This window comes from Homo sapiens, chromosome 2 (assembly GCF_000001405.40).
Source record: "Homo sapiens chromosome 2, GRCh38.p14 Primary Assembly".
NCBI classification, from domain to species: domain Eukaryota; kingdom Metazoa; phylum Chordata; class Mammalia; order Primates; family Hominidae; genus Homo; species Homo sapiens.
Genome location: NC_000002.12, coordinates 24,067,356 through 24,091,193, shown reverse-complemented (window position 1 = coordinate 24,091,193; position 23,838 = coordinate 24,067,356). Strand labels below are relative to the sequence as shown.

The 23,838-nt window shown below is 46.7% G+C and overlaps 3 protein-coding genes across 8 annotated transcripts in view, besides 10 other annotated features; 2 read left to right on the top strand and 1 right to left on the bottom strand.

The window, feature by feature from the left end:
• Positions 1 to 14,361, bottom strand: part of FAM228B (family with sequence similarity 228 member B) — a 92,806-nt gene extending 78,445 nt beyond the window's left edge. Inside the window, exons 1-2 of one of the 2 annotated variants that reach the window (NR_111929.2) lie at positions 14,225 to 14,361; positions 10,239 to 10,315 (exon numbers count right to left, since the gene is read on the bottom strand). The gene's annotated coding sequence lies outside the window, so the exon portion shown is untranslated. Of the gene's footprint in view, positions 1 to 10,238; positions 10,319 to 14,224 lie in introns of both variants that reach the window. The other variant, NM_001291328.2, reaches the window with a different exon arrangement.
• Positions 5,575 to 6,075: an enhancer, noted in NCBI's record as "H3K27ac hESC enhancer chr2:24307989-24308489 (GRCh37/hg19 assembly coordinates)". NCBI's record gives its function as "activates a minimal SCP1, AML or CMV promoter by ChIP-STARR-seq in primed H9 embryonic stem cells {active_cell/tissue: H9 hESC(primed)}" and the evidence as "EXISTENCE:reporter gene assay evidence [ECO:0000049][PMID:30033119]".
• Positions 6,360 to 13,761, top strand: TP53I3 (tumor protein p53 inducible protein 3). Of its 5 annotated transcripts, NM_147184.4 has the most exons (6): positions 6,360 to 6,463; positions 6,863 to 7,005; positions 8,042 to 8,309; positions 10,163 to 10,375; positions 11,554 to 11,750; positions 13,433 to 13,761. In NM_147184.4, exons 2-6 carry the CDS (start codon positions 6,868 to 6,870, stop codon positions 13,613 to 13,615), a joined length of 999 nt encoding a protein of 332 aa, NP_671713.1. In that variant the 5' UTR covers positions 6,360 to 6,463; positions 6,863 to 6,867; the 3' UTR covers positions 13,616 to 13,761. The 5 variants fall into 5 exon arrangements, with proteins under 5 accessions (NP_671713.1, XP_006712213.1, NP_004872.2 ...); XM_006712150.3 differs by lacking the exon at positions 11,554 to 11,750; NM_004881.5 differs by having other exon boundaries at positions 6,360 to 7,005.
• Positions 6,633 to 6,812: a silencer, noted in NCBI's record as "silent region_11227". NCBI's record gives its function as "represses an Ori minimal core promoter by ATAC-STARR-seq in GM12878 lymphoblastoid cells {active_cell/tissue: GM12878}" and the evidence as "EXISTENCE:reporter gene assay evidence [ECO:0000049][PMID:35858748]".
• Positions 6,823 to 6,872: an enhancer, noted in NCBI's record as "active region_15425". NCBI's record gives its function as "activates an Ori minimal core promoter by ATAC-STARR-seq in GM12878 lymphoblastoid cells {active_cell/tissue: GM12878}" and the evidence as "EXISTENCE:reporter gene assay evidence [ECO:0000049][PMID:35858748]".
• Positions 7,023 to 7,122: an enhancer, noted in NCBI's record as "active region_15424". NCBI's record gives its function as "activates an Ori minimal core promoter by ATAC-STARR-seq in GM12878 lymphoblastoid cells {active_cell/tissue: GM12878}" and the evidence as "EXISTENCE:reporter gene assay evidence [ECO:0000049][PMID:35858748]".
• Positions 7,718 to 8,648: an enhancer, noted in NCBI's record as "H3K27ac-H3K4me1 hESC enhancer chr2:24305416-24306346 (GRCh37/hg19 assembly coordinates)". NCBI's record gives its function as "activates a minimal SCP1, AML or CMV promoter by ChIP-STARR-seq in naive H9 embryonic stem cells {active_cell/tissue: H9 hESC(naive)}" and the evidence as "EXISTENCE:reporter gene assay evidence [ECO:0000049][PMID:30033119]".
• Positions 13,994 to 14,643: a silencer, noted in NCBI's record as "silent region_11226". NCBI's record gives its function as "represses an Ori minimal core promoter by ATAC-STARR-seq in GM12878 lymphoblastoid cells {active_cell/tissue: GM12878}" and the evidence as "EXISTENCE:reporter gene assay evidence [ECO:0000049][PMID:35858748]".
• Positions 13,994 to 15,049: a biological region, named in NCBI's record as "H3K27ac hESC enhancer GRCh37_chr2:24299015-24299546".
• Positions 14,518 to 15,049: an enhancer, noted in NCBI's record as "H3K27ac hESC enhancer chr2:24299015-24299546 (GRCh37/hg19 assembly coordinates)". NCBI's record gives its function as "activates a minimal SCP1, AML or CMV promoter by ChIP-STARR-seq in primed H9 embryonic stem cells {active_cell/tissue: H9 hESC(primed)}" and the evidence as "EXISTENCE:reporter gene assay evidence [ECO:0000049][PMID:30033119]".
• Positions 14,754 to 14,983: an enhancer, noted in NCBI's record as "active region_15423". NCBI's record gives its function as "activates an Ori minimal core promoter by ATAC-STARR-seq in GM12878 lymphoblastoid cells {active_cell/tissue: GM12878}" and the evidence as "EXISTENCE:reporter gene assay evidence [ECO:0000049][PMID:35858748]".
• SF3B6 (splicing factor 3b subunit 6) lies at positions 14,868 to 23,608 on the top strand. The gene is made up of 4 exons (NM_016047.4): positions 14,868 to 14,994; positions 17,000 to 17,118; positions 22,735 to 22,873; positions 23,343 to 23,608. The coding sequence occupies exons 1-4, from the start codon at positions 14,965 to 14,967 to the stop codon at positions 23,430 to 23,432; spliced, it is 378 nt and encodes a 125-aa protein (NP_057131.1). The 5' UTR covers positions 14,868 to 14,964; the 3' UTR covers positions 23,433 to 23,608.
• Positions 15,050 to 15,582: an enhancer, noted in NCBI's record as "H3K27ac hESC enhancer chr2:24298482-24299014 (GRCh37/hg19 assembly coordinates)". NCBI's record gives its function as "activates a minimal SCP1, AML or CMV promoter by ChIP-STARR-seq in primed H9 embryonic stem cells {active_cell/tissue: H9 hESC(primed)}" and the evidence as "EXISTENCE:reporter gene assay evidence [ECO:0000049][PMID:30033119]".
• Positions 23,609 to 23,838: the final 230 nt, after the last annotated feature.

The window sequence follows — 23,838 nt, the reverse complement described above, 5'->3', positions numbered from 1 at the left end:
GGGATTACAGGCGTGAGCCATGGCACCCAGCGCATCTCTTGCGTTTTCTAAGTCTACAATCATATCAACAACAAAAGGAGGCTGTTTTATCACTTTTCCAGTATTTATTATCAATTACCTCGTTTTTTATCTTATTGTATTGACTAAAACTTCCGAATTAATGTTAAATAATAATGTCAGCTTGGGCAACATGGCATAACCTCGTATCTACAAAACAAACGATAAACAAACAAACAAAAACTATCTGGGTGTGGTGGCTCAAGCCTGTAGTCCTAGCTACTGAGGAGGCTGAGGTGGGAGGTTCAATTGAGCCATATCAAGGCTGCAGTGAGCTGTGATCACAACACTGCACTCCAGCATGGGCAACAGAATGAGACCTTGTCTTTTAAAAAAAGTCTACTATAAATACTTTCCTTTTATCCTTATTTTGCTTGGAGGTTTTATAATGAATGGCTTCTACGTTTAATCAATGCCTTTTTGGCCTCTATTGATTGGCTCATATGGTGTTTTCTCCTTTAATTTGTTGATGTTTTGGGGTTGTATTGATAGACTTCCCAATATTGATTTTGTATAATCATAGGGAATATAAGTTGCTGAACTCCATTTCCTATTTTTTTTTTTTTTTTTTTTTGAGATGGGAGGCTCTCTCTGTCACCAAGGCTGGAGTGCAGTGGTGCAATCACAGCTCACTGCAACCTCCTCCTGCCTCAGCCTCGCAGGTACCTGGGACTACAGGCGTGCACCACCACGCCCAGCTAATTTTTGTATTTTTAGTAGAGTTGGGGTTTCACCATGTTGGCCAGGCTGGTCTTGAACTCCTGACCTCAACTGTTCTGCTCCCCCCTTGGCCTCTCAAAGTGCTGGGATTACAGGGTTGAGCCACCGTGCCAGTCCTTGCTAATTTTTTTGTTTGTTTGTTTGTTTTTGAGACGGAGTCTCACTCTGTAGCCCAGGCTGGAGTGCAGTGGCGCAATCTCGGCTCACTGCAAGCTCCGCCTCCCGGGTTCACGCCATTCTCCTGCTTCAACCTCCCGAGTAACTGGGACTACAGGCGCCAGCCACCACCCCGGCTAATTTTTTGTATTTTTAGTAGAGAAATACACCATGTTAGCCAGGATGGTCTCCATCTCCTGACCTCGTGATCCGCCCGCCTTGGCCTCCCAAAGTGCTGGGATTACAGGCGTGAGTCACTGCGCCCGGCGTTTTTTTTTTTTTTTCTTTTTTTTTAGACGGAGTTTTGCTCTTGTTCCCCAGGCTGGAGTGCAATGGCACAATCTCGGCTCACCACAACCTCTGCCTCGAGTGATTCTCCTGCCTCAGCCTCCCGAGTAGCTGAGATTACAGGGATGCGCCACCACACCTGGCTAATTTTGTATACTTGCTAATTTTTTAAAGAAATGTTTATCTTTATTAACAAGCCTTTGCTGCAAAAATAAACTATCCCCAAATCTTAACAGCTTACAACAACAACAGCTTACAAAAACAAATGTTTATTTCTTCCTCGGTTGTGACTCTGCTAGGCTGGTCCCAAGACAATAGGTTGGATTCAGGGCTACCCTGAGTATTTCTCACTCAGGGACAAGCTGAAATAGAGGCTATCTGTGGGTGGCAGGAAGGTAAGGGGACTGATGGAAACTGACCATGCCTTTCTCACTCATCATTGACCAAAGTAAGAGACAGGGCCAAACCCAACATCAACAGAATGAGGCGAAAATACTCTACCCATTGGGTAGAATGGAGTAATTTTGCTAAAAAAATCTTCCTTTTTTTTTCTAGATTTTACTACTTGTTGCTGTAGAATTTCACATAATTTAATTTATTTTTGTTTTAATCACTCCTATATCTGTGGTTGTATCTCCTTTCTCATTCCCAGTCTTTCAGACCTTGGCTATTTCTTGTTTCCCAGCTGTAACTCACAATACATTTCATTCATGTTACTGGTTTTTATAAAGAACAAGCTGGGACTACAGGCAACCACCACCACACCCAGCTAATTTTTGCATTTTTAGTAGAGATGGGGTTTCATCATGCTGGCCAGGCTGGCCTTGAACTCCTGACCTCAAGTGATCCACCCCTCTCAGCCTCCCAAAGTGCTGGGATTATAGGTATGAGCCACAGCACCCAGCCCATTTCTCAACTTTCATAATTGGATACATTTCTACTAAATATAATCTATTTCCCCATATCTGGGAAACCACACTGTTTCTACACTCACACAGAACACTTCGTTTCTGACACTAGATATGCAGGTTTTATTCCCACATCAATCAATTCTCTGACATAGGCTGGGTGTTCCACAATTCAATTCTGACACTCTCTACCTGGAGTTAGTGTCAGATCCCACAGATTAAGGGCTCAGTCCCGCAAGGTTGCCCCCATTAAAGATGCCAACTGCAAATCCAAGCCTCCTACACTTCTGACCAACTGGCTGTATAAATCAGGGATTCTCATGACTCCCTCCTTGGATTTGATAATTTGCTAGAATCCTTCATAAAACTCAGGGAAACACTTACGTTTACTAGTTTATGATAAAGAATATTATAGGCCGGGCGCGGTGGCTCACGCCTGTAATCGCAACACTTTGGGAGGCCGAAGCAGGTGGATCTCTTGAGCCCAAAAGTTCAAGACCAGCCTGGCCAACATGGCGAAACCCTGTCTCTACTAAATATGCAAAAATTAGCCGGGCTTGGTGGTGCATGCCTGTAATCCCAGCTACTTGGGAGGCTGAGGCAGGAGAATCACGTAAACCCAGGAGACAGAGATTGCAGTGAGCCGAGATCACCCCACTGCATTCCAGCCTAGGCGACAGAGCCAGACTCTGCCTCAAAAAAAGATATATATATATAATAAAGGGATGAACAGCCAGGTGAAGAGGTATGTAGAATGAGGTCCAGAAGGATCCCAAGTGCAGGAGTCTCTGTCCCCATGGAGTTGGGGTACACCACACCATCTTCCCATGGTGGATGTGTTCACCAGCTGGGAAGCTCACCACATTTCTTTGTTCAAGAGTTTTTAGGGCCAGGCGCAGTGGCTCACACCTCTAATCCCAGCACTTTTGGAGGCCTAGGCAAATGGATAACCTGAGGTAAGGAGTTCAAGACCAGCCTGGCCAACATGGAGAAATCCCATTTCTACTAAAACCACAAAAATGGGCCGGACCCAGTGGCTCACGCCTGTAATCCCAGCACTTTGGAAGGCCGAGGCAGGTGGATTGCCTAAGCTCAGGAGTTTGCGACCAGCCTGGACTGTTGCAAAACCCTGGGCTGGTGAAACCCTGTCTCTACTAAAATACAAAAAATTAGCTGGGCGTGGCAGCGTGCATCTATAGTCCCAGCTACTTGAGAGGATTGCAGGGAGCCGAGATCGCCTGGGTGACAGAGTGAGACTCTGTCTCAAAAAAAAAAAAAAAAAAAAAATTACCCTGGTGTGGTGGCTCACACCTGTAGTCCCAGCTACTCGGGAGGCTGAGGCAGGAGAATCGCTTGAACCTAGGAGGTGGAGGTTGCAGTGAACTGAGGTCAGGCCACTGCACTCCAGCCTGGGCAACAGAGTGAGACTCAGTTTCAACAACAACAACAAAAAAGAATTCTTATAGCGTGTAATCTCCAGTCCCTGCTTCCCCTTCCCAGGGTCTTTCTGGTGACCAGCTCATCCTGAAGCTATCTAGGGCCCCCACCCTAAGTCATATTAGCATAAACTCGAGTGTGCTTATAAGGGTTTGTTATTAATATAAAAAGTCACTTCTATCACATACGAAATTCCAAGGGTTTTAGGAGCTCTGCAGGAGAACAAAATATAATAAAAGATACTTATTGGCCAGGCAGAGTGGCTCATGCCTATAATTCCAGTACTTTACAGGCTGAGGTGGGAGAATTGCTTGAGTCCAGGAGTTCATGATCAGCCTGGGCAACGTAGCAAGACCGTATATCTAGTTAAAAACAAAAGAAAGAAAGAGATGTTTATTCAGCAAATAACAAAGGTTTTAGGAGTGCTATTGTAGGAACCCAGGACAAAGACCAAAAATATATATTTCTTATTACACACTGCAAGATTACATCGACCAAGGGCTCACTAAGATAAAATCTTAGGCACTTTCAACTACTAGTTTTACTGGGATACTTTAGTATACTTAGTGGTTGGTATTATTAGATTTTTTTTAAAGTTACTCCTTGCATCTTAAAAGTTCTTATTTAGCACTTACATTACACATTCCTCATCTATCTTAATCCATTCCATTTTCTTAATCCAATCAGTTTTAGTGTCGATTTTTGCAAAGTTTGTTATTTACAACTATTTCCTTTCCATCTGTCTCTGTTCTAGGATATTTATTTGGTTCAAACCTTTCCTCGATTTTGGACAGATGTGTATCCGGATGATGTGTCTCTGAATCCTTATACATCCTCAGACATGTTTTTTGCCCTAACAAGTGAATTATATCTTAATGGGGTATATTGAGTTACAGTGCTTTTCTTCTAGTCAATAGACGCTAGTCTACTCTCTTCTAGCTTCCAGATTGCAGATAGAAACTTGCTGGGCACAGTGGCTCATACTTGTAATCCTAGCACTTTGGGAGGCTGAGGCAGGAGGATTGCTTGAGTCCAGGAGTTTGAGACCAGCCTGGGCAACATAATGAGACCCCTACACTACAAAAAAGAGAGAGAGAGAAAGAGGGGGTGGGGAAGGAGGGAAGGAAGGAAGGAGGGAGGGAGGGAGAGAAGGAAGCCATTTTTTTTAACCAATTGTGAGTAACTTATTCTTTCCACACTTGTTAGAACCTGAAATTTTATAAAATATAGGCATGCATTTTTGTTCTTATGAATCCATCCTTTAGTGAATGTTTTCAATCCGTATAATCTGGTAGAATTTAGGAAAACTGTATTCTTTTATTTGGTTAACTATTGAATCTTCTTCATCCATTCCTCTTCCTCCTTCTAAAATTCCTTTTTTTTTTTTTTTTTTGAGACGGAGTCTCACTCTGTCGTCCAGGCTGGAGTGCAGTGGTGCGATCTCGGCTCACTGCAAGCTCCCCCTCCCGGGTTCACGCCATTCTCCTGCCTCAGCCTCCCGAATAGCTGGGACTACAGGCGCCCGCCACCACGCCCGGCTAATTTTTTGTATTTTTAGTAGAGACGGGGTTTCACCGTGTTAGCCAGGATGGTCTCGATCTCCTGACCTCGTGATCCGCCCGCCTTGGCCTCCCAAAGTTCTGGGATTACAGGCGTGAGCCACCGCGCCCGGCCTAAAATTCCTGTTATTCTCATAGCAGGGTCTCCTGAATTTTTCCTTAAGTCCCATCATTTTATTATTTCCATCTCTATAGGCTTTTGCTCTGTTGTGTTAAAGAAATAATTATTCAATGATACTTGTTAAAGCACATTAAGGAAGACTTTATTTAGCACCATCGCTACAGGTTTAGGGACCACTGCAATGAGTTCTTGCAGTGGAGGAGACAGGTTGGGATCAACTCTGAATGCATCACGGACAAGTGGGAATGTATAGCCAAGGAGCAGTGTAGGGGGTCAGTGGATGGAAAATTGGTAAGAGGCATCAGGGGTAAGGGGGATTCTATCTAAACTGACCTAACAGGATTCTCACTGAAGACAGGCCAGGGTGGTCGGATATCACTTGGGGGATGGTGGAGGATGAGATATTGAGGGTGATCAGATGTCAAGGATGGGAGGTTCTTACTAAAACAGGAATTTACAAGGAGTGCTACGGATATGTAGTGGGGGGAGGCCAGGGATGCTGCTAAACATCCTACGATGCACAGGACGATCTCCTACAATAACGAACTAGCTAGTCCAAAATGTCAATAGCGCCGAGATTGAGAAACCTTCATGTAGCTTACGGATACAGCTTTTACCCAATCGCCAGCATCCTTCTCCTGGGGCTGAACCTCTCCCCCAGGACTGTCAGGAGGAGGCGAGTGATAAGGATCCCAGGACTGCGTTTTGCCTTCCTTCCCCACCCCCACTCCCAACGGCTCCTTTCTCTTCTCTTAGCAGCACCCAGCTTGCCCACCCATGCTCAAGATGGGCGGGATGCCAGCCTGTTACATAAATGTGCCAAAAGCCTGGCCATGCCTGGAAAATGGACCAATCCGCCCGCCAAGAGGTTGGGTCTCGTTCCCTAGAGAGAAGGAAGTTTCCTCTCCTTGAAGTGAGAGCTAGAATCGCACTTTCTGTCAAGCTGAGAGAAAGACTCTTTTCCAGAGGCTAAAAGGACAAGAAAATCTGATTTGCTTGCTTCTAACTTTGCGTTTTAAAGGGGGAAGGAGGAAAGGAAAGAGGGGGAGGGTGGTTCTGCTTAGCCCCACCCCTCCGGCTACCCCAGGTCCAGCCGTCCATTCCGGTGGAGGCAGAGGCAGTCCTGGGGCTCTGGGGCTCGGGCTTTGTCACCGGGACCCGCAGGAGCCAGAACCACTCGGCGCCGCCTGGTGCATGGGAGGGGAGCCGGGCCAGGAGTAAGTAACTCATACGGGCGCCGGGGACCCGGGTCGGGCTGGGGGCTTCCAACTCAGAGGGAGTGTGATTTGCCTGATCCTCTTCGGCGTTGTCCTGCTCTGCCGCATCCAGCCCTGTACCGCCATCCCACTTCCCGCCGTTCCCATCTGTGTTCCGGGTGGGATCGGTCTGGAGGCGGCCGAGGACTTCCCAGGCAGGAGCTCGGGGCGGAGGCCGGGTCCGCGGCAGACCAGGGCAGCGAGGCGCTGGCCGGCAGGGGGCGCTGCGGTGCCAGCCTGAGGCTGGGCTGCTCCGCGAGGATACAGCGGCCCCTGCCCTGTCCTGTCCTGCCCTGCCCTGTCCTGTCCTGCCCTGCCCTGCCCTGTCCTGTCCTGCCCTGCCCTGCCCTGTGTCCTCAGACAATATGTTAGCCGTGCACTTTGACAAGCCGGGAGGACCGGAAAACCTCTACGTGAAGGAGGTGGCCAAGCCGAGCCCGGGGGAGGGTGAAGTCCTCCTGAAGGTGGCGGCCAGCGCCCTGAACCGGGCGGACTTAATGCAGGTACCCAGGGCTCAGCCGCGCCGGGGCGGGCGGGACTCCAGAGCCTCCCTCTCAACAGCACTCAGTGGACATTGACCAGACGTGAAGGCGTGCACCGCTCCACACCCAGCAGGCAGCTGCGCTGGGGCTTCCCAGACCTAAACCCAGGGCGCCCTCTTTGTTCATGCAAAACAAGGGGGAGTACTTGTAAAGCAGAATCCACCCCGAGCTAATCCATAGCCACTCAGGCCTCCAGATGAGGGCGGAACTAACATTGTTGTGGGGTGTGGGCACACTTACTCCCCAGGCTACCCTGTTCGCCATCTTAATTCTACAGATAAGGAAACTGAAGTTCAGTGAGGTTAAGCAGTACGCCCAAGGCCGTGACACTAGCAATCAGAAGAGCTGGGATTCAAGCTGAGGTCTTTGTGGCTCCAAAGACCTCTTAACTCTTTCCACTCTGAGAGTCCCGGAGCTGACAGCGGGCAGTACTCTTAAGAATTTTCTTCTGTCTGATGCTGATTTACTGACCTGGGCCAGCTGCATTGGTTGGGGTCATTCAGAAATGTGCATCAGAATCCCCCGGGGCACAAAAGAAACGTGATGGGGGCCCAGGCACGTGTACTTTGAAATACTCCTCAGGTGGTTCTGCCACACACTCCTGGTTAAGTCCCTCTGCTCTACAGCTTCTGAGGACTGGGGTGAGTGAGCACAGAGCCTAGCGCTTGATGCATGGGAACCATCGTCAAGGTTCCTAATCCCACTACTATTATTTCCCGTCTGGGACTCAGTTTCTCCATCTGTAAAGCAAGGGGTTCAGATGAGGTAAATAGCTAAGGACTCTACCAGTTATAACATCCACTGATCATGTGACCTCCAGTTTATTTGCATAAAACTAATGGCCTCTCCTTTTTCTTCTCCTTACTTACAAAAACCTGACTTCATTCTGAAATTTATTTTTGAAAAAAAAAAGAGGGGATCTTGGAAGGGGGGCCAGGGGTAGTGACATACAGATTTCTGATCATGCTCACCACTTAGTGCACTTCTTTCTCTGCAGAGACAAGGCCAGTATGACCCACCTCCAGGAGCCAGCAACATTTTGGGACTTGAGGCATCTGGACATGTGGCAGAGCTGGGGCCTGGCTGCCAGGGACACTGGAAGATCGGGGACACAGCCATGGCTCTGCTCCCCGGTGGGGGCCAGGCTCAGTACGTCACTGTCCCCGAAGGGCTCCTCATGCCTATCCCAGAGGGATTGACCCTGACCCAGGCTGCAGCCATCCCAGAGGCCTGGCTCACCGCCTTCCAGCTGTTACATCTTGTGGGTGAGGAGGCCTCCATGCTCACTCCACACAATGTGGCTCAACACCTTCATAAATCAGCCAACTTGAATCCCAGCAATCCCCCAGGGCACTCCCAGGCCTTCCTGTATCACCTGTATTGTCAGGTCCTCAAACCATGTTAGAAGGGTTTAATGTTGAGGCTGAGAATCATGGTTAGCAGATAGAGGGTCTGGATAACACTAGATAGGAGGCCTATGTACATGTTAACACCGGACGCCCAGCAGAAGTCCCAGCTTCTTAGAATCATACTGAGCTTCTCTCTGGGGTCCCAGTGCAACAGAAGGGACCAATTGACTCATTTATTCCTCCTCAATCCCACAGAGGCCAGTCAAGAACTCACATAAGGGAATCTAAGAAGACTTGGTCCTTGCCTTTAGACAGTGCAGTGTAACTGAGAAGGCAACATATGCATAAGATCAGATGACCATAGAGTTTAGAAGGATAGCCCTGTCTATGATAGAAGCTGGAGATGAGTAAAGATGGTGTGGACAAGGGTAGTCAGAAGGCTTTTTGGAAGGCTTTGAAGGGTGGGTAGACTTGTGAAGGACATAAGGCATGCCAAGGTGGCCTAAGAAAGAGTATCAGCCAGGCAAGGTGGCTCACACCTATAATCGTAGCACTTTGGAAGACAGATCACGAGCCCAGGAGTTCAAGATCAGCCTGGGCAACATGGCGAAACCCTGTTTCTACAAAAAATACAAAAATTAACCAGGCATGATGGTGCATGCCTGTTGTCTCAGTTACTCAGGAGGCTGAGTTGGGAGGATCACCTGAGCCCAGGAAGGTCAAGGCTGCAGTGAGCCATGATCATGCCACTGCACTCCAGCCTGGGCAGTAGAGTGAGACTCTGTCTCAAAGAAAAAGAAAGAGTAGGCTGGGCGTGGTGGCTCACGCCTGTAATCCCAGCACTTTGGGCGGCTGAGGTGGGTGGATCATGAGGTCAGGAGATCGAGACCATCCTGGCTAACACGGTGAAACTTCATCTCTACTAAAAATACAAAAAATTAGCTGGGCGTGGTGGTGGGCACCTGTAGTCCCAGCTACTCAGGAAGCTGAGGCAAGAGAATGGCATGAACGCAGGGGGGGTGGGGCAGAGCTTGCAGTGAGCCAAGATTGCGCCACTGCACTCCAGCCTGGGTGACAGAGTGAGACTCCGTCTCAAAAAAAAAAAAAAAACAGTATCAAGGTGAGACCAGCCACTGCACTCAGTAGTGAAGGATGACTATTGTGATTTGTGAAAAATGAGGCTGGAGCCAGATCATGGTGTCCTTGAATATCAAGCTGTCTGGACTCAATGCAAAAGCCAATGGAGAAGCACTTTACATTTTGAGGAGGAAGTAACATAATGCAAGTGCCATCTTAGGAAGAGGAGCCTGGTGGCTGTGTGTTGCCTGGATCAGGAAGACCAGCTGGAGGCCAGTTTCAGACTCTAGAAGGACTGGCTTTCGGTGGTGACCATGGGAATGGTAGTTGTTCTTACTTATTCAGGTGTAGGTCAGAGATGTGCATTTTGGTGTTATAGGTAAAATAGAGATTATGGATGTGGCTGCTTATAGCCCTGTTTCAAAAGGCTGTTTTCCACTTTAGCCAGAGGCAATAAGACAGAAAAGGTCGTCAATATGCTCTTTTTCTTTCTCCAAAGAACAAGATGGTTTGTATTTGAGTCACAGCGTCCCACCCCCACCAGCCCACCCCCACCCCACCAAATAAAAAAGGAAAAGCAAAAGATTGATTTGGCATTTGGTGCAACGGCCAGGTGATCTTGATAGAATATGCCTGTGTGGGGAATGTGTAGCAGTTGCAAAGTAAAGAGAACCCTGTACTTTCTGTCACAGGAAATGTTCAGGCTGGAGACTATGTGCTAATCCATGCAGGACTGAGTGGTGTGGGCACAGCTGCTATCCAACTCACCCGGATGGCTGGAGCTATTCCTCTGGTCACAGCTGGCTCCCAGAAGAAGCTTCAAATGGCAGAAAAGCTTGGAGCAGCTGCTGGATTCAATTACAAAAAAGAGGATTTCTCTGAAGCAACGCTGAAATTCACCAAAGGTAAACAACTGCTTCTACAGTTCAGCAGGAATTTAAGAGATGATTAAATAAAAGCCCCACCAGTCTCAAAGTTGCCAGTGCTGTGTATCAGTCTTACCTCTGCTAAGTGCACAACAGCTGCCCTGGCCAAATTCTAGTACTATGGTATTTGACCACTGGAGACAGGCAGTCATATTTAAATCTAAGATGGTTTCCATGTGCATTCTTGCAAGAGATAAGATTCATCCACACTTTAGACCATGCAGACTTGGTCTGGAATTATCCAGCACCTTTTCTTCCCAACCAGCCATTCCACACTTAGTTAACAGGAGGCTTGGAGGCAGAGACCAGTTTGGAGCCAGCCATGGTAGGGTTGGGTGGTAGCACCCTAAATGAGTAAGTAGATGTGCACACCTCTGTATTCCAAAGCCAGACGTGTCTATTTTTGGCTCATCCCTTTCCGTTTCTCTTTCTTTTTTTTTTTTGAGATGGAGTCTCACTCTGTCACTGAGGATGGCGTGCAGTGGCTTGATCTCGGCTCGCTGCAACCTCCGCCTCCCAGGTTCAAGTGATTCTCCAGCCTTAGCCTCCTGAGTAGCTGAGATCACAGGCGCACCACCACGCCCAGCTAATTTTTGTATTTTTAGTAGAGACGGGCTTTCACTATGTTGGCCAGGCTGGTCTCGAACTCCTGACCTCAGGTGATCCACCTGCCTCAGCCTCCCAAAGTACTGGGATTACAGGCATGAGCCACCATGCCTGGCCTCCATTTTTTATGTGAGTAGAAAAGGAGAGATGAAACCAAAGCTAGAAAGCCTATGATTCCAATAACCTAGTGCGGACACTTCCTAACTTCTATGTGAACAACTAGCCTAGGTTGGGCCTCCTGTATTCTGTTCTCAATCGTGCCTGGGTGTCAGTGGGACTGTACTTATTTTGGCATGACAGGAGACGCTAGGTCATGGTGCCCCATTTCCCTCTTGCTGTAGCTAGGCCTCATAAATGGTGAACTTCATACATGCTATCATAGAGTTCTGCTATCTAAACTCCATTTACAACAGTTCTTCAAGCAGTGTTTCTAATTCCAACCTATAGATTTACCACTTGCATCTGTATTTATATCCATAATCCCCAAATATACCATGGTATCTTATTTAGCACCAAGCTGACTAGCATCACAAATCTGTTTCCTATGGAAGGTGCTGGAGTTAATCTTATTCTAGACTGCATAGGCGGATCCTACTGGGAGAAGAACGTCAACTGCCTGGCTCTTGATGGTCGATGGGTTCTCTATGGTCTGATGGGAGGAGGTGACATCAATGGGCCCCTGTTTTCAAAGCTACTTTTTAAGCGAGGAAGTCTGATCACCAGTTTGCTGAGGTCTAGGGACAATAAGGTGAGTGATGAATGAAAAGAAAACATGTGATTTAACCCAGAAAAGTGTGGTTCATTTACATTACCCCGAGAAAGGAAGCTCTACCTTAGATTACGGAGGTTAGTTTCTATGAAGAAACCTCCCCCTCTGAAGATAAAGAGGGAACCCGATTTCAGAGAACTGATTCAGATTGGTTGATAGAAGCTTCAGTATCATGAAAAGAAGTGTAGCTGATACTTCACAGGTTATCTGAACATTCTAACAGAATGAAGAAAGCACTGACTATATTAGGAAGTATTTCGAGTAGTTCCAAGACTTTGTTTTCAAAGGCAGAATTCATCTCAGTGTGCTAGAAAGTCTCTTAGGTGAGTAAAAAAATAAGTAAGCCTTGGCCTTCAACAGATTATAGGTTCCATGCCGGGCACAGTGGCACTTGCTTGTAGTCCCAGCTACTTGGAAGGCTGAGGCAGAGGATTGCTTGAGTCCAGGAGTTTCAAGGCTGCAGTGAGCTATGATTGCACCTGTGCATAGCCACTGTACCCCAGCCTGAGCAACATAGCAAAACCTCATCTCAAAAAAAAAAAGATTATATGCTCCTGAAATATTCCATCTGGCAGTCTAGCAGGTACCACCTTTGGGAATGTTTCCACCATAGGGTTTTGCACCAGCTGAGGGACAGGAGAGCTTAAGCATCCTTTTTTCACTAAGCCTATATGAGTCCTATCTGTGGCTGCCTCCTGGGTAAAGACACTTTATTTAAAAACAATTCTTAGGCTGTCAGTGACACTAACATTTTACTCCAGGCTTCAGTCTTTATCTGGTACAGAACAGAAGTTACACATTTGGAGGTACAAGGGAGCCAGAGATCACCTGTAACCCCCCTTTAGCTCCTATGTGGTCTCTTCAGCTGGCTCTAGAAACCAAATTGATACCAGCAGATTGACAGGAGAAAAGCATGTACTTTTTTTTTTTTTTTTTTTTTTTATGGAGACAGGGTCTTACTCTGTCACCCAGGCTGGAGTGCAATGGCACAATCAGCCTCCTGGGTAGCTAAGACTGAAGGCATACCACCATGCCTGGCTTGTATTTTTTATAGAGACAGGTTTTCACCATGTTGCCCAGGCTGATCTCAAACTCCCAGGCTCAAGTGATTCGGCCAAAGTAAGATGCTTTTGTAATTTTTAGACAAAGAACAATAAATTTGAGAAGAAATAAGACAAAATCTGGCTAGGGATAGTAAATTTCTAGGGAAGTCACTAGGAGATATATGGGGGTGGGGGGTGTAAAACTAGTGGAAGATAAGGGTTACTTCCTTAAGTGTATTTATTCAGTTCCATTGCAGCCCCGTTTCCAGTCTCTGGTGATAAGGGCTTTTTGCCCTAGTATGGGGAGGGTACCCCTCTCAGAGGAATCTTTATGACTTGCTACATGCAAGAAGAGACAGGTCAGCTAGCCTTTTCTGAAACTACAATTTCTCCAATGCTTTCACCTCAAAATTAACAATATACCTATCGGACATATTCTGAGATGGCACATGACTCCTTCAAGGGTATTTCACACACATGCTAGGAAGTGAGGGGTTAAGTGTCCCTGTGTGCTTTTTCAGATACGTGGCTTCAGAGAGAGCAAGAAGGCTGAGGAGGATGAGGAGGGCAGGGTGAGGCTCTCTCCCCAGGCTGATGATCTCCTTTCCCTTGTCTTAGTACAAGCAAATGCTGGTGAATGCTTTCACGGAGCAAATTCTGCCTCACTTCTCCACGGAGGGCCCCCAACGTCTGCTGCCGGTTCTGGACAGAATCTACCCAGTGACCGAAATCCAGGAGGCCCATAAGTACATGGAGGCCAACAAGAACATAGGCAAGATCGTCCTGGAACTGCCCCAGTGAAGGAGGATGGGGCAGGACAGGACGCGGCCACCCCAGGCCTTTCCAGAGCAAACCTGGAGAAGATTCACAATAGACAGGCCAAGAAACCCGGTGCTTCCTCCAGAGCCGTTTAAAGCTGATATGAGGAAATAAAGAGTGAACTGGAAGGGTGGCACGCGGACTGGGGCCGCCGCGGCGGGGTTGAGGTGGGAGTCCGGACGGGCGTCGCAGCGGGGATTACTGAGGCCCGATCAGCTGACGCTCAACCTGAGGGCCCCTCCAGGGACGGAGATTCTGGGTATAGTTACAGCGTCAGCCGTGACACAAGCCGCCAGAACCCCACATATTCCGCCTTGCGCACAGCTAGAGGCCCAGGCCCACCACCTCCGGCACCTGCCCGCGCGCCCCGCAACCAGTGGGCACCACAGCAGGCCCCAGCCCTGCCCGCTACTCACCTGGGCCCCACCCCACCTCTCGCCGCCCTCCTCAGGCCCCACCACCTCCCGCTACACATCTGAGCCCCGCCCCACCTCCACCACTTTCCTCAGCCCCAACCACCTCCTGCTACACTTCTGGGCCCCGCCGCACCTCCACCACCCTCCTCAGGCCCCGATCCCTTCCGCTACTCACCTGGGTCCCGCCCCAGCTCAGTCCTCCTCAGGCCCCGCCTTCGCCCGCTACTCACCTGGGCCCCACCCCACCTCTCGCCACCCTCCTCAGGCCCCACCACCTCCCGCTACACATCTGGGCCCCGCCCCACCGCCACCACCCTCCTCAGGCCCCGCCCCTTCCATTACTCACTTGGGTCCCGCCCCAGCTCACCGCCTTGCTCAGGCCCGGCTCCCTCCCGGATACTCACTTGGGCCCCACCCCAGCTCTCCGCACCCTCCTCAGGCCCCGCCCCCTCCCGCTACTCACCTGGGTCCCGCCCTACCTGTCATAACCCTGCTCAAGCCCCGCCTCCTCCGCTCCCCAGTTACTCACCTGAGACCCGCCCCAGCTCTCCGCCCTCCTCAGGCCCCGCCCTCTCCACCCGGGTTCCTCTGCTCAGGGCCTCCCCGACCGGAACATCTCGCCTTTTGGAGGCTACGCCCCGCCCTTTACGGTACAGAGCCCGGAAGTGTCTTGGACTCTCGCCTTTCCATCTTCCGGCCTCGAGTCTCGCTCAGGCTCGGTTTTACCCCGGAGTCTATTCGAAGGGGGCTGCTACGTCAGCGCGTCTCAGCGTAAGACGGCGCTATTCCGCTGTAACAGCTTCCGGCGGGTCCTGGATGTTGATGTCCTGCATCTAACGCGGTGTAACCCCCGAAGCCGAGCGAGCTCCGGAGGAATTTCAGTATCTGCTACGGTAACTTCATCAGCCCGCCAAGATGGCGATGCAAGCGGCCAAGAGGGCGAACGTGAGTATCGGGTGTTCTGCGGAGGGTGGGAGAACTTCGGGTTTGACTTTCTTAGCGGCGTGGATCGGAGCATTCTTGCTCCTCCTCCGTCCCCAGAGCGGAGAACTCCAGAATTCCTATCCTGTCAGCGAAGACACTATCCGGCCCCATCCTCAGAGATATGCTCCTTGAGCCACATTTCTGTCCCCACCCCTTTTGAGAGTTCCTCAGTCTCTACCCTAGTGTCAGTGATAGTGTTACCCCTATAGCCTCTTTGCTTGACCCGCACCTAAGGACCTGGCGTTAGGATTATCTCCTTGACTTAAAGTCGATATCTCAGAAGAGTCCTCAACTAACTTAATGGTTCACCAACAACTAGGACCTGGGATTCCCCTCAGATCATGGTGCTTTTCGGATCCTTCATTAACACATTAATTAAAACAATATTTTTTGAGCACCTACTATGTATTCTGCTTGCCATGTGGGACATAATTCATCAATTATATTTATTGAATAGCTACTATGTGCCAGACACTAGTCTTACGTATTGGGAATACAGCAGTGAATAAAACAAGTCCTTCTGCTTACATTCTAGTGTTTGAGAGTACAGTGTTACGGAAACTTTTAAAAAAAAAAAACTCAAAAAAGAGATTAGTCAACAGTAAAACGCTTAGAGGTGTAAGATGAAGTTAGGCCGAGTGAGGTGGCTCATGCCTGTAATCCCCGCACTTTTGGAGGCTGAGGTGGGAGGATTGCTTGAGCCCAGGAATTCAAGGCTGCCTTGAGCCATGATTGTGCCACTGCGCAGCACTTCAGCCCAGGAGACAGAGCAAGACCCTGACTCAAAAAAAAAAAAAAAAACAGAAAGAAAGAAAGAAAGAAAGAAAAGACAAGCAATTGACCATTGTATATGTAAATGGAGACTTTTGGTGACCTTGATGATAGGAATCATTTCAGTGGATGAAAACTTGATTGCAGTGGGGTGAAAAGATGGTGGAAGTTGAGAAAATGGAAACAGCAAAGACACTCTGTCCATGAGTTCTCATTTAAATAGGAAGTAGGGAAATTGGATGATAGTTGACTTTTTTTTTTGAGATGGACTCTCACTCTGTCACCCAGGCTGGAGTGCAGTGGCACAGTCTTGGCTCACTGCAACCTCTGTCTCCTGAGTTCAAGCAATTCTCCTGCCTCAGCCTCTTGAGTAGCTGGGATTACAGGTGCCCACCACCATGCCCGGCTAATTTTTGTATTTTTAGTAGAGACAGGGTTTCTCCGTGTTGGCCAGGCTGGTCTCAAACTCCTGACCTCAAGTGATCCACCTGCCTTGGCCTCCCAAAACGCTGGGATTACAGGCATGAGCCACCGCACCCGGCCAGATAGTTGACTTTTTAAAAGATGTGTGATATAGGTGTATCTTTATGCCAATGGGAGCAATCCAGCAGAGTGTGCGAAACATGATATGGAAGAAAGATAGGTTGAGTTTAGAAGTGAAGGTTTTGAGTAGATGAAGGTTGGCGTAGTAATAGAGGGAAAGTAGTTGGATATAGATGAAAAGTATTTCAATTGGTCATGTCTATTTTCTCCAAGAAACAAGAATCAGGGTCATCTCCTGGGATGGGCAGGGAAGAGGGTACAGCCCAACTCAGGTGTTAGCAGGAGTGATGGTGGTAAGGTTTGCAAAGGCCTACACCCACCACCATGCCTGGCTAATTTTTTAAAATTTTTGTAGAGATGGGGGTCTCACTATGTTGTCCAGGCTGGTCTCAAACTCCTGGGCTCAAGTGATCCTCCCACTTTGCCTCCCAAAGTGCTGGGATTATAGGGACCAGCCACTGCACCCAGCCTCTGTTGCTTTTTCAAAGATCTGCCCATTTTCAGAAACATCAAATTATACCTCTTATTCTTGGCTTTTTATTATTACGTATCATTAAGAATTTTTTAAAATGCCCCTAATTATAGGGGCATTTAAATTATAATTTTTTAGAATGCCCCTAATTATAATAACAATACGTATTTCTCATTTTAGATTCGACTTCCACCTGAAGTAAATCGGATATTGTATATAAGAAATTTGCCATACAAAATCACAGCTGAAGAAATGTATGATATATTTGGGAAATATGGACCTATTCGTCAAATCAGAGTGTGAGTCTTACTGAGTCATTTAAAGAAAATGATAGCATAATCTGTAATTTCAGAATTATAGCTGACGATGAGGCCACCCTGTGCTGTGTGCAGTGCGACAACCCTTACCAAGAGCCTTGAGACTAGCAGATTGAGATCAGAGAGATGAGATCTTTTTGAAGGGGGGAGAAAACCTACTGAGACCCTAATGATCCAGCTCAATGAGAGCCAAGAAGAGGATTTGAGTTTCCTCAAAGCATTCATTGAAGTAGTAATGAATGCTTTGAGGAAACTGGTTGAGAAGGGAAAGAACTAACATTTATTGCATACCTGTTATTTGTAAAGCTAGCTTGTTACACTGTGTTTTTTGTATGCAGCAGCTCTATAATTTTCTCAACAATCATCACTGTCTCTTTAAATAACCCCAGAATTTCTGAATAAACTAAGTAAAAGAGTATAAAAGTAACAGAAAAAAATGATATTTTCAACTACAGCTCTTTCAATTGAAGATGTAAAAGTATAGAGGAAAACATCTAATTACAAGCATTCACGTTTTAATTTAATATAAAGATTGGGGTTCATACCTTCAAGTGATATTTACTGGACATCTACTGAATACCATTAACCATAATAAGTGCTTTTATTTGGATCAACAAAACTATAGCCCTGAGAGTAAAGTACCTTTCTATCTTACAGTGCTTAGTGGTAAAATCTTCTGACTCTAAATTGAACCTCTACATTACACAGTACCATAGCCTCTGACACCCGAACTCATATGAAAGGGCTAGTGACTTAAGAGTCCATCTGAAAGGATTTCTAAAGTTTTTATTTTAAAAAAATTATTATTTTACCACAGTAATGACTACGTATAAAGTTTTTATTTCTAGTCGGAATTCCGTCTTGTATGACTTGAGAGCTCCTTCCTGGCTTTAGGACTATGAGGTCTTGAGGACCCTCCTTTTGAATGACACTGTCCCTCCAGAGAGTAAACCAAGAGCTGGAAATACATGATCATTGGTACTCAGATGGGGATGAAAGTGAAAGTGTTATAGACCAGCTGTCCTTTTTAGGAGGTCTCAGTCCTTTGAGCATCTGATAAAAGCTTTAGACTCCTTCCACAGAAGAATACACTCATGTTGCATATATTTCAGGGGATACATGGACTCTAGGTCAAGAAACCCTGCTCTAGATACAGAATGGTATACAAGGCCAGGAGTTCAAGACCTGCCTGGCCAACATGGCGAATCCCTGCCTTGGGGATCAGGAGACAAGATTCTACTTCAGGCCTTGTTACTAGCCATGTGTGTGACTAGTTGCCTAGCTTTTTTGGTTTTCTCTTCATGTATGAGATAATCTGGGTGGTGGCCTTTTAGCTTTTAATGTGGAAACAGCATAGATTGGTTGTAAGGCCTGGGTTCAAATACTGGCTTGCCTACTCTTACGAAACTGGAGAAAATATTTAACCTTATCTGGGTTTCAATTATCTATGAAATACAGTCTTCCTAACCTACTGTCTTAAAAGAATTTTAATTTGGATGAAATTACACAGTGTCTGTGAAGGTACTTTATCAGTTTTCCTTCCCAGTGTACATTAGCCACTCTTCTGCTCCCATAGCATTTCCATGTGTCTCTCCTAGGTTAACACATGGTTTTGCTGTTGTCTCTATATTCATCTGTCACCCTGGGCAGGTTGTGAGTTCCTCCAGGGCTCGTACCATATATTATTTTTGTTTTTGTGTTGATAGCACTTGTGCGATACATGGTAAGCACCCGATGTATACTAAATGAATAATATAGAAAATAGTAGAATAGGCCAGATGTGGTGGCTCACACCTGTAATCCCGGCACTTTGGGAGGCCGAGACAGGCAGATCACCAGAGGTTAGGAGTTCGAGACCACCCTGGCCAAATGGTGAAACCCCCTCTCTAAAAAAAAATACAAAAATTAGCTGGGCATGGTGGCACGCGCCTGTAATGCAATTACTCAGGAGGCTCAAGTGGGAGAATCGCTTGAACCTGGGAGGCTGAGGCTGCAGTGAGTGAGCCGAGATCATGCCACTGCACTCCAGTCTGGGCGACAGAGTGAGATCCTGTTTCAACAAAAGAAAAGAAAATAGAAGAATAATATAAAAAGTGGTTGTGATTGGTTTACTAGGGCATTATAAAATTTATTGATAGTACTCAATTAAGGGATGCTTAAAATCAGTGAAGTTAGAGAATGTTTCAGAAAGCCAAAATGAAAGGACAGGGAATAAAGCAGGGGCATCTTCAGAAGAGTGCAGAGCAGCTCAGAACCTTTGTGCTTCTATTTTCCTTGTATCTGGAATGGTTTTCACCAGCTCATCTCATGCCTGGCTCCTCCTCATTCTTCAGGTCTCAGCTTCAGTGTCACCTTTTCAGAGGGGTTTTCCCTGACCACCCTAGCTGAAGTAGCTCCCTGTTTCCCTATCTGTTACAGCTTTCTACTTCTTGTATGAAACATTTCTTTTTTTAAGATGGAGTTTCGCTCTTGTTGCCCAGGCTGGAGTGCAATGGCACGATCTCGGCTCACTGCAAACTCCGCCTCCCAGGTTCAAGTGGTTCTCCAGCCTCAGCCTCCTGAGTTGCTGAGATTACAGGCACCCACCAGCATGCCTGGCTAATTTTTGTATTTTTAGTAGAGATGGGGTTTCACCACGTTGGCCAGGCTGGTCTTGAACTCCTGACCTCAGGTGATCCTCCCACCTCGGCTTCCCAAAGTGCTGGGATTACAAGCATGAGCCACCGTGCCAAGCCGAAACATTTCTTAAGATTTATAATTATTTCAGGGCTGGGCGCAGTGGCTCACGCCTGTAATGCCAGCACTTTGGAAGGCTGAAGTGGGCAGATCACAAGGTCAGGAGTTTGAGAACAGCCTGACCAACATGGTGAAACCTCGTCTCTACTAAAAATACAAAACTTAGCCAGGCGTGGTGGTGCATGCCTATAATCCCAGCTACTCAGGAGGCTGAGGCAGGAGAGCCGCTTGAACCCGGGAGGTGGAGGTTGCAGTGAGCCAAGATCATGCCACTGTACTCCAGCCTGGGCGACAGAGTGCGACTCCGTCTCAAAAAGAAAAAAAAAAGATTTATAATGATTTCATATTTATTTAATGTCTTTCTACTGCCTGAATATAAGCTTGAAGGAAGGGATGATGCTTATCTTTTTCACTATTGTATTTCTAGTGCCTGTCGCAGAAAGAACATAGTCTATGTGTTGAATAGGTTAATAGAAGTTTAGGGTACAGGAGCTTAGGTCTAAATTATAGATTGAGAAACAGCTGTTTTTCTGTTCCATTACTGTGATCATGCTTTATTGTATACCTGGCACCTGGCACTAGGGTGACCAACCTTCCCAGTTTGCCCAGTACTGAGAGATTTTCTGGGACACTGGACTTTCAGTGCTAAAACCTGGACAGTCCCAGTCAAATCAGGATGATTTGGTTTGACCCTACCTGGCATGTAGCAGGCACTTGGTACTTTGTACTTTTTAAAACTCTTTGATACTTGTTACCTCTTTTGATTATTAAACCCACGTGGAAGGTAGGGCACGTGATAGAGCCTGATGGCACTGGATACATGAAGCATCCGAAGCTCACAGAGGCTAAGTTACACGCTTAGGTGTTCTTATTCCTACTCTAAGATTTTAATGCCAGTCAAGAAAATTGTAGCACTTTGGGAGGCTGAGGTGGGTGGATCACTTGAGGCCAGGAGTTCGAGACCTGCCTGGCCAACATGGCAAAACCCCATCTCTACTAAAAATACAAAAATTAGTCGGGCATGGTGGCGCACACCTGCACAAGAATTGGTTGACTCTGTCTCAAAAAAATAAGAAAATAATGTTAGCTCAGTGTCCAATACGTGGTAGGTACAGATACATGCTTTTAAAAGTTCAAATTATAATATGGCTCTCAAGGTGTGAGGTTGATAATTAGGGCTGGGACACTTAAGATGGAGAGTCTTTAAAGTGGGGTTAGTGTCTATCCCTATTCTAGTTCCTAAGAAGATATAAGAGGAAGAAAGAGAGTTGCTTTGTTTAGTTTTGTTTTGAGCTTCCTGAACAAAGTGTGTGTGAGAGAACTGATAGAAGAAAGTAGATCTCCACTTTTCAAAGGCGTATTAGCGTCTGCCTTATGCGTGGCACTAAAGGAATAAATGAAGTACGCATAAGATCACCTTTGCTCTTAAGGAACTGAAAATCTTATTAAGTTTTTAGAAGTCAAAAGTCTGAAAGTTGTTAAGACTTGCCAGAGCCTAAAGAACATTCTAAAACCCCTCGTCAGGCCCACACAACCTGACAAAGTGAGCGCATTCATTGACAGTGGCACCCTCCAATCACCCCCAGTACCCTATTCCTTTTCAATTTTACAGGAAGCACAAGCTTGAACAGGGCCCAGACTATAGTCCTATCCTAGATCAAGTCTAGGCAGGTACCTCCTCTTCCCATGGCTCCACTGCTTTTATTCAACCCTATGTAAGGACTGTGGCAGATGGAGAGTCAGCCCACAGTCTTAAACCTCATTCCACAGTTGCACTGGGTGGTTGGAACACAGATGGAGGCAAGGGGGCCATCTTGTCACCCAGAGCCTGAACTGAGTGGGACCTCTACCCATTGTCTCCACTAACAGTCACATGGCCACCTGCTGCCTGCAATTTAGCGTTGCGTTGCTCCTCAAACTTCTCTACCTCTCCCAGAGGAAGTTGGTGAGGTGAAGGAAGGAAGTGGCCAGGAATAACTACACTAACAGCAACCTCGTATCCATAAGTAAGGTTAGCTTCCACTTCCAGCCACCTTCCAGCATTCTGCCCTGGCTCACTGATAACCCTATCCACAAGCACACTTCCACTCCCATCTTTGCAGAAGCCTAGCCCTTCTCCCTAGCCACACAGCTGTATCGTGCATTAGCACTTGAGTTGTATTAAAAATGAATGTAGACCGGGTGTGGTGGCTCATGCCTGTAATTCCAACACCTTGGGAGGCTGAGGCAGGCGGATCACTTGAAGTCAGGAGTTTAAGACCAGCCTGGGGAACATGATGAAACCCTGTCTCTACTAAAAATACAAAAATTAGCTGGGCATGGTGGCACATGCCTCCAGTCCCAGCTACTTGGGAGGCTGAGACACAAGAATCACTTGAACTTGAGAGGCAGAGGTTGCAATGAGCTGAGATTGTGCCACTGCACTCCAGCCTAGGCAACAGAGTGAGAGTCTATCTCAAAAAAACAAAAACAAAAACAAAAACAAAACAAAACAAAGACAACGTAGAGCCAGTCAGGGTGGCAAGAGCACCTGTAGTCCCCACAACTCACGAGGCTGTTCTGTGTAGTAGCTGTGTTCTTAGTATTCCTGATGTGACAGTCAGCTTGACCTATGGATATTTTAGTTAAGATAAAAACGAAGAACAAAATTACCTAATTCAAGAAATTACAGGCTTATCCGGTATATCTATCCATGTTTATTTCCTCTGATGGTTTCAGGTTGATTTCAAAATACTTAACTAAAAACGTATTTCAATTTACTGTTTTTAAAAGACAGTTACCAGTTTAAAAGACAGTTCTGTAAGTCAACTATCAATGCTCAGGTAAATGTATATCTTAATTAAGTTTAACTTACCTCTCCAGGGGGAACACACCTGAAACTAGAGGAACAGCTTATGTGGTCTATGAGGACATCTTTGATGCCAAGAATGCATGTGATCACCTATCGGGATTCAATGTTTGTAACAGATACCTTGTGGTTTTGTACTATAATGCCAACAGGGTAAGTATAGCAAAGTTCTCATTGTGTAGTGATCTCATTTGAGAATTAGTGTAGAACTGGCCGGGCGCGGTGGCTCATGCCTGTAATCCCAGCATTTTGGGAGGCCGAGGTGGGCGGATCACGAGGTCAGGAGATCGAGACCATCCTGGCTAACACGGTGAAACCCCGTCTGTACTAAAAATACAAAAAATTAGCCGGGCGTGGTGGCGGGCGCCTGTAGTCCCAGCTACTCGGGAGGCTGAGGCAGGAGAATGGCGTGAACCCCAGGGGGTGGAGCCTGCAGTGAGCCAAGATCACGCCACTGCACTCCAGCCTGGGCAACAGAGAGACTCCGTCTCAAGAGAATTAGTGTAGAACTGTACTGTGATGATATATGTCTACTATGACTTTCTTTTTTGGCTAATGCTATTGATGAAATTCATTTGGCTGTAGATTGGTAATTTAATTTTGGTGCTTACCACATTTCCAGGCATTTCAGAAGATGGACACAAAGAAGAAGGAGGAACAGTTGAAGCTTCTCAAGGAGAAATATGGCATCAACACAGATCCACCAAAATAAATGTTTTCTACATTTTCATTTGGACTAAATCCCACGAATGACAACTACCACCTTTTTTTCCTTTTTAATTAATACTAAATATTGTGATTTCTTATTTGAGGTTCAAAATGACCTGCTTGAAACTTTGATACATATTGGAATACATTATGTTAATAAACTTGTAGCTTTTTGTGAAACACCTCAGTCTTTTCTCTTGAACTTTCCCTTCCTGTTTGATACCAGGAAAAAACAGTTGAAGCTTATCAAGAATTGTAGGTGCTCCTAGGGATTCTGAGTTTCTTGAGAACAGGATCTCTTTACATTCTTAATGCCTCCAGGGCCCGGTGCAGTGCTTAGCCATCAAAGGAACTTGCTGTTTATTGCATGTCCATTAATAATGAAATCTTCATAACAACTCAGTGAAGAT

What these genes read in the sequence shown, in the direction of transcription:
- SF3B6 (NM_016047.4), top strand. Translation starts at nt 14,965, where the DNA reads ATGGCGATGCAAGCGGCCAAGAGGGCGAAC. An exon ending in AAGCGGCCAAGAGGGCGAAC is followed by an intron (nt 14,995 to 16,999) that starts GTGAGTATCGGG and finishes TTCTCATTTTAG; the next exon opens with ATTCGACTTCCACCTGAAGT. An exon ending in TGTACTATAATGCCAACAGG is followed by an intron (nt 22,874 to 23,342) that starts GTAAGTATAGCA and finishes CCACATTTCCAG; the next exon opens with GCATTTCAGAAGATGGACAC.
- TP53I3 (NM_147184.4), top strand. Translation starts at nt 6,868, where the DNA reads ATGTTAGCCGTGCACTTTGACAAGCCGGGAGGACCGGAAAACCTCTAC. An exon ending in CCAGCTGTTACATCTTGTGG is followed by an intron (nt 8,310 to 10,162) that starts GTGAGGAGGCCT and finishes TTTCTGTCACAG; the next exon opens with GAAATGTTCAGGCTGGAGAC. An exon ending in AACGCTGAAATTCACCAAAG is followed by an intron (nt 10,376 to 11,553) that starts GTAAACAACTGC and finishes TTCCTATGGAAG; the next exon opens with GTGCTGGAGTTAATCTTATT.